Raw genomic sequence first — 12,856 nt, 5'->3', positions numbered from 1 at the left:
AGGTCTGACATTACTCCCTCTCAAATTTTTAACTTTCAGAATTGTCCACTCTGAGCCTCCAAAAATTCGTCAATTAAAGTTCAGGTTTTCTTACTCAGGTATTGTTCCTTAAGAAGATTTCTGCCCCAGTTAAATTGTGATTCTATGTATCCGTTTGCCCATCTCTTTAATTTTGGGAGCTTTTCCTTGTGATTTCACTTCTCTTATAGATCTAACTTCTTTTTTCAGTTTTTTTCCTCAACTTTTTACTTGTTATTATGAGGGAGCAGCAACTTCTAAGGTCCTTATGTGTCAGGCCAGAAACTGGAAGCCCTAAAGTTATCTTGAAATAATTTTTTTCTATTGGCCCACAAGTGCAGTCTTGAGTTAATCTTATTTCTAGCTAATGGCATATGTTTTTTTCACTCTTTCAGCCTTCAAAAATATCAAGACTACCTTATATCTCAGTGGGAATGTTTCTCACTGAGGATGCATGTAGTTTTCTGATGATGTAACTTAGTAGAGGCCTAAAGAGCAACATAAGAAAAATTTCATAGGTAAAATTAGTCTTAGGTTTCTTACTTCAGTGTTCTTTATACTGGAATATCCCTTCCCCTGAGGATCCATTTACACTTTCCACTAGGCACCCTGGCAGGAATAGTTTTAAGAAAATCCATTTCCAAATCTTAAACCCCCAAATGTGTAGTTTCCTAGAATTGATTTGCATGGCAATTTTCCAGTGGTCAACTATGCTAGAGGCTTCCCATTTATTCTCTTTAACTAATTTCCCTCTCATAGTTTTTTTCTCACTTTACAAAAGAAAGCCATAGATTTCACACAAAGGAAATCATACATAATACCTTACCTGTGGGTGAAGGTCCAATCAAAGGGATAATTTAAATGATAGCAATGACTGGGAAATAAGTTATTTGGACAATCATCTGGGTTCTAATTCTTTCTTCTCAATAAAATCGAATGAAGAACTACTCTAGCAATTGGATTATTATAGATAAATTTCAGTGAAAATCAATTTTTGTCTTACAATTTGAAAGGAGTTCAATGAATTGAGTTTCACTGCTGTAACAAAACTCTTAATTCCAATCTATTTACTTATGACAATTTATCTTGATGCATATGTCTATAATTGATCTGAATCCTGTTTCATTTTAAAAATTAATTAGTTTTTAAATTTTTTCAATTGACATGTAATTTTTTTATTTGTGGGATATAGAGTGATATTTTAATACATGTGCACAATGTGTAATGATCAAAACTAGGTTATTAGCATACCCAACACCTCAAACATTTATTTCTTTGTGTTGGGAACATTCAAAAGCCTCTCTTTTAGCTTTTTGAAAACATGCAATAAATTATTTTTAACTATTGTCACCCTACAATGCTATAGAACCCTGGAACTTATTTATTCTACCTAGCTGAAATTTTGTATCCATTAACCAACCTCTATTTTCCTACCCACTTTCCCAGCCTCTAGTAACCAATACACTACTGTTTTATATGAGATCAACTATTTTAGCTTCCATACAGGAGTGAGAACATATGTGAACCCTGTTTTATTTTCAAGGAGGGTACACAAACTGAAATGAAACAAGAGCTTAATTTATTTCATTAAAAAATACATTTTAATTCCATTTTACTTATTGTCCTTAATGATTACTTATCGAAATTTGTAATAAATGGATTTTCCGTTGGTCAACATAAATGCCTATAGAAAATGATTTAAAAATTGATGTTTATTTATATGTGTGTGTATTTGCTGCCATTAAGTAGTATAGTGTAATCTAGAAAATATTTTCATAACATAAAATATATTTTACAAGAATAAGATTATATGTTGAGGGGGAATAAAAAAACATCAAGATCAAAATGGAATGACATTAGATTTGTGAAAAATACCTTGTTCATATTTTCCTTTAATGAATAATGGTGGGTATGAAATCATGGTAACAATCACATTTTATTGAAAATGTTTCAAATAGTGATCTACCAGTATTATTTTAAAGTGTTAATTTAAAAAACAGCTTTTATGTATTCTTTGATACTAAAGTTAAAATGATGGAAAATTTTAGATGTCAACTTCAAATGTACAAGATGATTCATAGTTTTCAAAATTGTTTTACAGTATCTAATGATAAAATGTTAGAAAGCCACTATTTTTATCTACTGTATGTAGGTATCATTTCTCTTACCCAGGCATTTGATAAGAGAAAGATGGCAGGAAGTGTGAGGCCCTTTTATCTCAAAAGAACCAGAATTGCTGAAATTCTGTGATTCTGAATGACAAACTCTATAATGCTTAAAAAGCCCAATCAGACCTAGGATACAAGGCTGTCATAACTTGGTGTAAAATAAGCTAAAGTCTCCAACAAAAAATCATCAGATCCTCCCAAGAAAAACAGAGTTTGATATATATTTTTTTAAATGTCCATATGATTTTTGTTTTGTGTCCATGTTGGGTGAAGTCCTTCTTGTTTCTCTAATACAATCTTCTTATTCTGTCACACACCCACCTCACTCCCAAATTTTATAGTTTATTTGTTTAATGTGCATATTATTTTCCCTTTTCTACATTGTACTTTGGATACACTATTGAAATTCCTGAATTCCAGTGATAAAGAAAATTTTGTGAATGCGTCTTGACTGAAAGAGTGAATAATCTTTCATGCACTCAAATTTGGAAGCAGGCAGCATTTTATTGGTCACTCATGCATTGCCCACATGTTGCTCTATTTCTTTGGAAATCTCTCTCTCATTCCTATCCTTCCGTGAAATCTCTACTCTGCATAGTAGCCTGTTCTACCACACCCAGAAAACTTTTGACCACAAAAGAGCCAGTGTGATGAAGCAGCAGAGAACTGAGTCCAGAGGAAAGAAACAAAATATTTAATGAACTTTGATACTGCTGAGATAAGTGAGTATGAGCAATTTCCTGCACCTCAAAAAAACCTTAGTTTTCTTACATATAAAACAAAAATTAGACTAGATGCCACTAAATTTTATTCAGGTCTTAAAAGTCTATGACTGTGATAACATTTTAGGATGATGGATATGTTCAATTTCATGACTGTGGCCGTGGTTAGGCTACTGTATATATGATAAAAATTCATGGGTGAATTTTATTGTAATAAAGCTGACAAAAAATTATGACTTTCAAAAATAATGGTAACAGTAACATTTATTGAACATTGGATCAGCTGTTAATTTCTTTACATGTACTGTTTCACCAAATTATCTTATGTACACTAGGAGTTTGATACAATTTTTATCCCCATTCTTGTGGGGGATATCACGGAGATGTAAAGATGTAAGTGACTTGCCCAAAGTCACACACTTAGTGAGTGAAAATGCCAGAACTCAAATATAGTTCTCCCAATTCCAAAGTCTGTGTTTGAATAATTTATTTACTATTAGAGAAAGAGTTGGAAACAGAGTATATATACTGAGCTCCTTCCTTCCCAGAGCTGTATGTGAGAAAAATACAGAGGTGGTATTGTTTTATCTCTACCAAGGATTAGTGAGGGTTTCTAGAATTATCCTGATTCCCAAAGCAGGCTTACAGATTCCATTATCTTTCTTTGTGGGCTTAAAACCAATAATACCTCACATGAAAACTCCAAAAGAAGAAAAACAAAGGATGTGTAAAGTGAAAAAAAATCACAACACAGCAATTTATGTTTTTTTTGTTGATGCATATATATTTTAAGATGCACTCAACTGATTGTAAATCATCATTTGCACATGGAATCCTAAGAGAATGCTAAACCTTGCCATCGACCTAACCTGGACTGTTGTCATATTCCTCTGTAAATCAATACTGCAATGTGTGCTTTTGTCAGAATATGTGCTATATCATGTGATTTTTAGAGAAAGAGAATCAGCAAGGTTATTTGTGACCATATTTGAAGTAGCCATAAACAAACATGTCTAAAATAACCTACAGAAGAAGGCTTGGCTAACAAGACAGAGCTAAGAAAAGTGGCTACTGGTTTCTTCCCTTAGAATTTCTTCTAGCAGCTATATTGTTCTCATATTTAAATGCCTTTTTAAAGAAATATGTAATTATAATATATGCATTATGATATATGGCATGAATTAATGCCTAAAATGACTTAAAATCAACATAAATGCTCCCTACATTGGGGGTACTGATTGGTAGTATCCAGGAGGAAACTGAACTATGTCTACAAATTAAAGATTGATGCTGGGAGAATTTGGTCTTTCCTAAGAGAATTATAACTGCATTTGAGGTCTAACAGTCATACTCTCAGTAATTTTGCCTGAGAAATTAGCATTGGATTTCTTTGGGTCATTGATTCTACTAATGTATGAGTAGTAGATGTTATCTGTTTCAGCCTTTGAGATCTAATTATACTTATTCTCTTGAATTAAAAGTAGTTATTTTATGTGCAAAATTTTCTTAAATATGGCTTCATATTGGTGTTTTTAGAAGATTTAAATGGTAATATAAAAATATTTTTAGAATTATTGCAGGTTGTCTTTTCTTGGGTGGGAGGTGAAGAAACTATCAAGAATAAGTTAAGATTAATTTGAAAAATGTGCTTTAAGAAAAAAAAAGCTGCTTCTCATTCAATTCTTCAAAATTTGGTGTCATCTGTGTTAAAACCATCAAGCAAGATTTACAAAGCACACATCTATCCAAGGCTTTCTTTTGAATTGAGCCTTCTTTTTCTGTGCAGAAGTAGAATAAATTATAAATGATGATAACATTTAAATTCTAGGTTTATTTTCAAGTGTAGTTGATTTGACTTAAATGGGAATTCTGTAGCTATTTAGTAATTAGGAATGATAGTTCTCTGCAATTCATAATTAGACCCAAAACAGGTGTTTTCCTTCTTTTTTTTTTTTTTCAATAGAAGTATTTTCAACTTTGGCAGAAGAATAGAAATGCAAATGGCTACAAGCTAATGAAAAATTTACCAAAATGTAAAAGACAGGAAGTTTGTATTTTTGTTACCTTTTTAAAAGTATTTTTAATGAACAAATCAAAGGAATCTTCACTCCTAATTGAAGTATGCATCATTTGAGATTTTAATACCAACTGACTAGCTAGAAATGATAGCTTAAATGGGCATTAAAGTATAATAGTAAGAGAATAAAGATAGTTAAAACAAAATAAATGGATATAATTATGTTACCCATTATTCCACAACACACAAATACACACACACACACACGCAATCTGTGTGTGCAAAATCAAACTATTCCTATTATGAACTTAACTTTAAAATAGAACAAAAGTTACATCTTATTTCACCATCATAATCGAACTAAGGATGGATCATGATTTATTTGGTACCATTAATGACCACATGAGCCTAAGAATTGTGTAATCCTAAGAAGATTTATTAATAAATGACCCATAGCAATTTTCTAATATAAAATGCCGAATTGAAAATGGTTTGGAGAGAGTAAAATTCCCAAAGTAGCATATGTTCAAAATAGTTTCCAGACCACAAAACAGAATTAAGACGAAGGTTATCACAGGCTAAACCTATCAAGAGGATTCTGCCGTCTCATTAGTGTGCACTATCTCATACTAATACCAGCTGGCTCATGAGACTGTACCCAAGAATGACCACAAAAGCAAAACAGTCTGCAGCAAAAACTGTTACAAACTGAAATCTAGGTTTCCTCCTTCTTTCAAAGGAATATGAAGTAAAAGATTTGATTTCCATAAAATAATAAATTAGGAAACAATGACCTAAACTGGAGATATTTTTGGAAGACTGTAGCAATTAGTCAGACGGTAGGTCATTCCTCTTCCTATTTTGCGTCAGGATGCACACAGATAGTCTTAGAAAAGACGTATGACGTCTGTTTAGAAATTTCTCTTTGATGAGCGACTTTACTTGTTTTATGTCTTTATTAATCTAAAAGGAGTTTACTCTGATTTGGGATGCACCCTATTTTAAAGTTTCCTTTAACTTTTCCTCTTTTAGAATAAATGCAGCTCATTTGAAATACTCTGAAAATGCAGTAAAGCAGAAAAAAGAAAGAATGACATAGGATCTTTTCCCTCAAGTGATGAATATTTTGATATGCTAAGTGGCTTGAATGCCTCTGAGAAATATCTTCATATGATTACTCTGTTGGTTAAATACAGACAAGTGTGATTAAGTGTAAATCTACACATATACCATAAATGACCACCGGATTGGTGAAGGGCACAGGGGGTGCCAGCACTTTGTTACCGCAAATTGAGGGGAGCACTTGTGAGCCACCCTGTGTACTGCCAGCATTCTTAATTGAGTGGAAGGCACAGGGACAAGAAGGCATAACTTGGACCATTATTAGACCTTGTTAAAACCCAGCTACATTGCTTTTCTAGGCAGGAATGCTTTCTTGGCACACTCCTTTCCAATTTCATTATATTTTCATTTTCATGTGTTGGGCATTTAGATTCTAGCTCTTTAAGTGAGGATCCTTGAGCTCCTCATAGGATTTTGCCTTCATTTTGGTTAGTAATGCGAAACGCAGAGGATGTCTGAATAAAATGTCAAGTAGGTGGGAGGATGACTCAAGAACTACTCAGATTGGATCACAGTCCTGCCATAAATGCATTAAAATCCTATCATGTTAACCCATTAGGCAGAACTTTTCTTCTTCTTTCAGTTGCCATCTTATAAAATGTCAATTATTTTGTAAGCATAAGAAAAGTAGTTGCCTAACAATTCCACTAACACTGAATATAACCCCGAAGATAAGACTTATTTCAGAACTTCAAAAAGCTGATGACTTTCAGACTGAGACTAGTTGTGTGTGCTTTTGTATTAGACAGAAGTCCTTCTGATAACCTCCTCATTACTAAAAATTGAAGAGCACGGTGCACTAATCTGTTTATATTGGGTCTTTATCCAAGTACACACCTTAGTCAATGTCAGAATATAGAAAGAAAAACCTAATATTGATTTTGAAGCACGGAGATACTAAAAGTTTAAACAACTTTTTAGTGGCATTTTTTTCCACGTTAAGATTTAAGAAAGAAGACACCAGAGATCACTTTGATGATGTACTTGATTGGATTACTTGACTGAGCCCATAGTGTATGAATATGTTGATGAATATTCTTTTATTATAGACAAAAAAGTATTATCCCCAAGACTATTCTGGAAAAGAGAATCTCCATTTTATTTTGGCTTCTAACCAAAGAATCAGCCTACTTTTAAGGAAGTTTTTCTCTTGACATTTCTGTCTTCAATGCATTAAGCTTCTATTCATATATATTTGTGTCTGTTCTTTTAACAGCCATGTCATCTAGCAATCAAGTATCTTATTTGATTTTCTTCAAATGATCTGATCTCAGATACCTTTATCCTCACAGCAGGCAATTTTTATGTAAAATACTGGTATCAACTCTAATGGATCTGATGACAGTTTTAAAACCTTTCTACATTAATGGCCTTTCCATTGTATTTAAGCATCGTGTCTCCTATATGCCATGATAAATGTGACACTCCCATTATAATGTCCTAAGTAACCACTCTGAATGGGGCACTATCCGTTCTTCAAATCTGTAATTGCCTAATGCAATATATCATTATGACTTCCAGGGGAAAAATACCCCTTTAACTTACATGAGTGTTTAGTTGTAAATGTGTGATTATGTGGTTACTTTGCTATGGGAATATATTTAGAAAAGATAGACCTTAGAATAAGATAGAGTTACTAGGGTTTCATATATTGATATCTATACCAAATCTGATAGCGTTACTAGAGTTTTATATATTGATATCTATACCAAGTTTTCAAATTTACTTTCTAGGGGAAAACATGGAGCAGATCATATAATGGCTATTAATATATTATTAAATATCCAGAACCAAATTAAAGTTTAAAAAAACTTACTGTGCCCTGTTAGAAAATGTATATATACAGTGCCTCATGCAGCCTACTTTGGGACATAGTCTCAGTCTATACTGAATCTGTGTTCCTGGGCTTAAGTCCTCAAACTTGGCTAAGAATAAATCTAACTGTGACTTTTCTAAGTGCTAGTGCCTGTTTGTTTTCCACTTTTGGTGACTATTCACATTCCTATTCTCTCAGTCTTTATTTCATGTATTTTGAATCCCTGATATTAGGTGCATAAATGCTCGAACTATAATTTTCTGTTGATGAATTGACCTCTGTATCATTATTAAGTGGCATTTTTACCCCTGCTAGAATTTTTTGCTCTTAAATATACTTTCTCTGATATAATATAGCCTTTCCAAATTTCTATAGGTAAGTGTAACATAGTAGGACTCTTTCCATCCTTTTACGTTAGCCTTAGTGGCCTTTACATATAAGTGAGTTTACATTGTAGCCAGCACATAATTAAGTCTTATCTTTCTACCCAGTCTGCTAATTTATGCCTTTTAATTAGGGTATGCAGACCACTCACATGCAACACAATGATTGGTATGGTCAGGTTAGATTTATCGTCTTGCTATTTCTTTTCCATTTCTCCCATCTCTCCTTTGTTGCCTCCTTTATTTAGAATTACTGAGTACCTTATAGTCCTATTTCATCTTTTTTTGTCTTATTAGTAGTAATAACTCTTCATTTTGTTCTCTTAATGGTTTCTGTAGGCTTCAGAATATAAATTTTTTTTTTTTTTTTTTTGACATTTGACTATTTTCTTGTTTATTGGTATTTCTTTGGGAGATTTTTTTTTTTTTTTTTTTTTTTGAGATGGAGTTTCGTTCTTTTTTTTTTTTTTTTTTTTTTTTTTTTATTGATCATTCTTGGGTGTTTCTCCCAGAGGGGGATTTGGCAGGGTCATAGGACAATAGTGGAGGGAAGGTCAGCAGATAAACAAGTGAACAAAGGTCTCTGGTTTTCCTAGGCAGAGGACCCTGCGGCCTTCCGAAGTGTTTGTGTCCCTGGGTACTTAAGATTAGGGAGTGGTGATGACTCTTAACGAGCATGCTGCCTTCAAGCATCTGTTTAACAAAGCACATCTTGCACCGCCCTTAATCCATTTAACCCTGAGTGGACACAGCACATGTTTCAGAGAGCACAGGGTTGGGGATAAGGTCACAGATCAACAGGATCCCAAGGCAGAAGAATTTTTCTTAGTACAGAACAAAATGAAAAGTCTCCCATGTCTACTTCTATCCACACAGACCCGGCAACCATCCGATTTCTCAATTTTTTCCCCACCCTTCCCGCCTTTCTATTCCACAAAACCGCCATTGTCATCATGGCCCATCCCCAATGAGCCGCTGGGCACACCTCCCAGACGGGGTTGTGGCCGGGCAGAGGGGCTCCTCACTTCCCAGTAGGGGCGGCCGGGCAGAAGCGCCCCTCACCTCCCGGATGGGGCGGCTGGCCGGGCGGGGGGCTGACCCCCCCACCACACTCCCGGACGGGGCGGCTGGCCAGGCAGAGGGGCTCCTCACTTCCCAGTAGGGGCGGCCGGGCAGAGGCGCCCCTCACCTCCTGGATAGGGCGGCTGGCCGGGCGGGGGGCTGACCCCCCCACCACCCTCCCGGACGGGGCGGCTCGCCAGGCAGAGGGGCTCCTCACTTCCCAGTAGGGGCGGCCGGGCAGAGGCGCCCCTCACCTCCCCGACGGGGCGGCCGGCCGGGCGGGGGGCTGACCCCCCCACCTCCCTCCCGGACAGGGCGGCTGGCCGACCCACCCCCCGCGCCTCCCTCCCGGACGGGGCGGCTGGCCGGGCAGAGGGGCTCCTCACTTCCCAGTAGGGGCGGCCGGGCAGAGGCGCCCCTCACCTCCCGGACGGGGCGGCTGGCCAGGCGGGGGGCTGATCCCCCCACCTCCCTCCCGGACGGGGCGGCTGGCCGGGCGGGGGGCTGACCCCACCTCCCTCCCGGACTGGGCGGCTGGCCGGGCGGGGGGCTGACCCCCCACCTCCATCCCGGACGGGCGGCCTGGCCGGGCGGGGGGCTGACCCCTTACCTCCCTCCCGGACTGGGCGGCTGGACGGGCGGGGGGCTGACCCCCCACCTCCCCCCCTGACTGGGCGGCTGGCCGGGCGGGGGGCTGACCCCCCACCTCCCTCCCGGACGGGGTGGCTGGCCGGGCAGAGGGGTCCTCACTTCCCGGTAGGGGCGGCCGGGCAGAGGCGCCCCTCACCTCCCGGACGGGGCGGCCGGCCGGGCGGGGGGCTGACCCCCCCACCTCCCTCCCGGACGGGGCGGCTGGCCGGGCAGGGGGCTGACCCCCCCTCCCCCCTCCCGGACGGGGCGGCTGGCCTGGCAGAGGGGCTCCTCACTTCCCAGTAGGGGCGGCCGGGCAGAGGAGCCCCTCACCTCCCGGACGGGGCGGCTGGCCGGGCGGGGGGCTGACCCCCCCACCTCCCTCCCGGACGGGGCGGCTGCCGGGCGGAGACGCTCCTCACTTCTCAGACGGGGCGGTTGCCAGGCAGAGGGGCTCCTCACTTCTCAGACGGGGCGGTTGCCAGGCAGAGGGTTTCCTCACTTCTCAGACGGGGCGGCCGGGCAGAGGCGCTCCTCACATCCCAGACAGGGTTGCGGCCCAGCAGAGGTGCTCCTCACATCCCAGACAGGGCGGCGGGGCAGAGGCGCTCCCCACATCTCAGACGATGGGCGGCGGGGAAGAGGCGCTCCTCGCTTCCTAGATGGGATGGCGGCGGGGAAGAGGCGCTTCTCACTTCCTAGATGGGATGGCGGCCGGGCAGAGACGCTCCTCACTTTCCAGACTGGGCAGCCAGGCAGAGAGGCTCCTCATATCCCAGACGATGGGGGGCCAGGCAGAGACGCTCCTCACTTCCCAGACAGGGTGGCGGCCGGGCAGAGGCTGCAATCTCGGCACTTTGGGGGGCCAAGGCAGGCGGCTGGGAGGTGGAGGTTGTAGCGAGCCGAGATCACGCCACTGCACTCCAGCCTGGGCACCATTGAGCACTGAGTGAACGAGACTCCGTCTGCAATCCCAGCACCTCGGGAGGCCGAGGCTGGCGGATCACTCGCGGTCAGGAGCTGAGACCAGCCCGGCCAACACAGCAAAACCCCGTCTCCACCAAAAAAAAAACGAAAACCAGTCAGGCGTGGCGGCGCGCACCTGCAATCGCAGGCACTCGGCAGGCTGAGGCAGGAGAATCAGGCAGGGAGGTTGCAGTGAGCCGAGATGGCAGCAGTACCGTCCAGCTTTGGCTCGGCATCAGAGGGAGACCGTGGAAGGAGACCGTGGAGAGAGAGGGAGACGGAGAGGGAGAGGGACAGGGGGAGGGGGAGGGGAGGGGGAGGGAGAGGGAGAGGGCCAGAATATAAATTTTTAATCTACTATAGTCTATCTCAAGTTATATTATACCACTTCACCTATAGTATTAGAAACATCCTATAATCTACTTTCATTTCTTCCTACCCAACATTTATTCTAGCATTGTAACGTATTTTTCCTATACATATGCTATAAACATCTCTACAGTACTTTTACAATTTTCTCATTTCATGGTCAATTATCATTAAAAAATTTAAATATTAAGAAAAATATATTTATGATGTAGTTACATTATTTGGTGCTGTGTGTTGCAAAAACCCATATTTGCATGTGATATCATTTTCTTTCCGCCTCAAATACTTTATTTTCATCCCTTTTTTTGTACTGCAGTTCTGCTGGTATTTAATTCTTTCACCTGTTGTATATTTTAAATAGTCTTTATTTCCTCTTCATTTTTGAAAGATATTTTCATTCAGTGTGTGGGTTGACAATTTTTTCCACTATCTTCTTACCTGCATTGTTTCTGATAAGAAATTTGTTGTCATCCTGATCTTTGTTACTATGTACATTACATGTGTTTTTTTCTTTGGTTGCTTTTAAGATTTAAAAATCTAAAGTCGCTGATTTTAAACAATTTGATTGCCGTGTACATTGATTTTTTTTAATGTCCCTTTTGAGTTTGTTGAGCTTCTTTGCTTTGACTTTTCATCACACGTGGAAAATTTTTGGTTATTTTGTTAAATATTTTATCCTTTACTTCTCTTCCATGGGGAACTTCAGTTATACACATGTTAGGCTGCTTCAGGTTGTTCCAGTGATCTTTGATTTTTCATTCATTATTGGGAAGAGGTGCTTTCTTCTTTTCTCTGTTTCCTTTTGGGTAGATTCTATTGCTTTTTAACATTTTCTCTCACCATATCCAATCAATGTTCTGTGAATCTACAAGTTTTCTGGTTTGGCTTGTGGGAACAGACCTATTTCTTGCTCTGTGTTAGTATGAGCACTGTTTTAATCCTTTTGGGTGGTTATTTCCCCAGTGTCGGCTGGTTTTCTTACACACATGCACTAATCAGTGTTGTGCTAAATACTTGAGGGGACTCTGCCAATTTCTTGAGTTCTCTCTCTGAGCTATTGTCTCCTCTTTTGTACATTTTCTTGTGAACTCCTATAATAGGCCTGTTTTCCCTGGACTCTAAACTCCAGTTCCTCAATTCAGGGAGTCTGCTGAGAACTCCTGGTGTTGATTATGGGAGAGTTTGTGCAAGCAGGATAGTGGAATAGAAAATTCCACTGATTCTCACCACCCACCCCCAGGAAGGACACCAAATTAACAAGTATCTAACAGGAAAGAAAAAAGGCCAGATGCGGTGGCACATGCCTGTAATCCCAGCACTTCGAGAGGCCAAAGCGGGTGGATCACGAGGTCAGTTTGAGACTGGCCTGGCCAACACAGTGAAACCCCGTCTCTACTAAAAATACAAAAATTAGCTGAATGTGGTGGCATGCGCCTATAGTCCCAGCTACTCAAGAGGCTGAGGTGGGAGGATCGCTTGAACCTTCCCTACCCCCAGGCTGGACAGCTGTCGGCTCCAAAAGAGACCCCTTCCTTCCACTTGAGGAGAGCAGAGGGAAAAGTGCGAAGACTCTGTCTTTCATC

At 40.2% G+C, this 12,856-nt stretch overlaps 1 annotated feature.

Annotated features, from left to right (window-relative positions):
- Positions 8,660-9,284: an enhancer, noted in NCBI's record as "NANOG-H3K27ac hESC enhancer chr15:47425847-47426471 (GRCh37/hg19 assembly coordinates)". NCBI's record gives its function as "activates a minimal SCP1, AML or CMV promoter by ChIP-STARR-seq in naive H9 embryonic stem cells {active_cell/tissue: H9 hESC(naive)}" and the evidence as "EXISTENCE:reporter gene assay evidence [ECO:0000049][PMID:30033119]".

Source organism: Homo sapiens, chromosome 15 (assembly GCF_000001405.40).
Source record: "Homo sapiens chromosome 15, GRCh38.p14 Primary Assembly".
NCBI lineage: Eukaryota > Metazoa > Chordata > Mammalia > Primates > Hominidae > Homo > Homo sapiens.
This window is presented reverse-complemented; position numbering and strand designations above follow the sequence as displayed.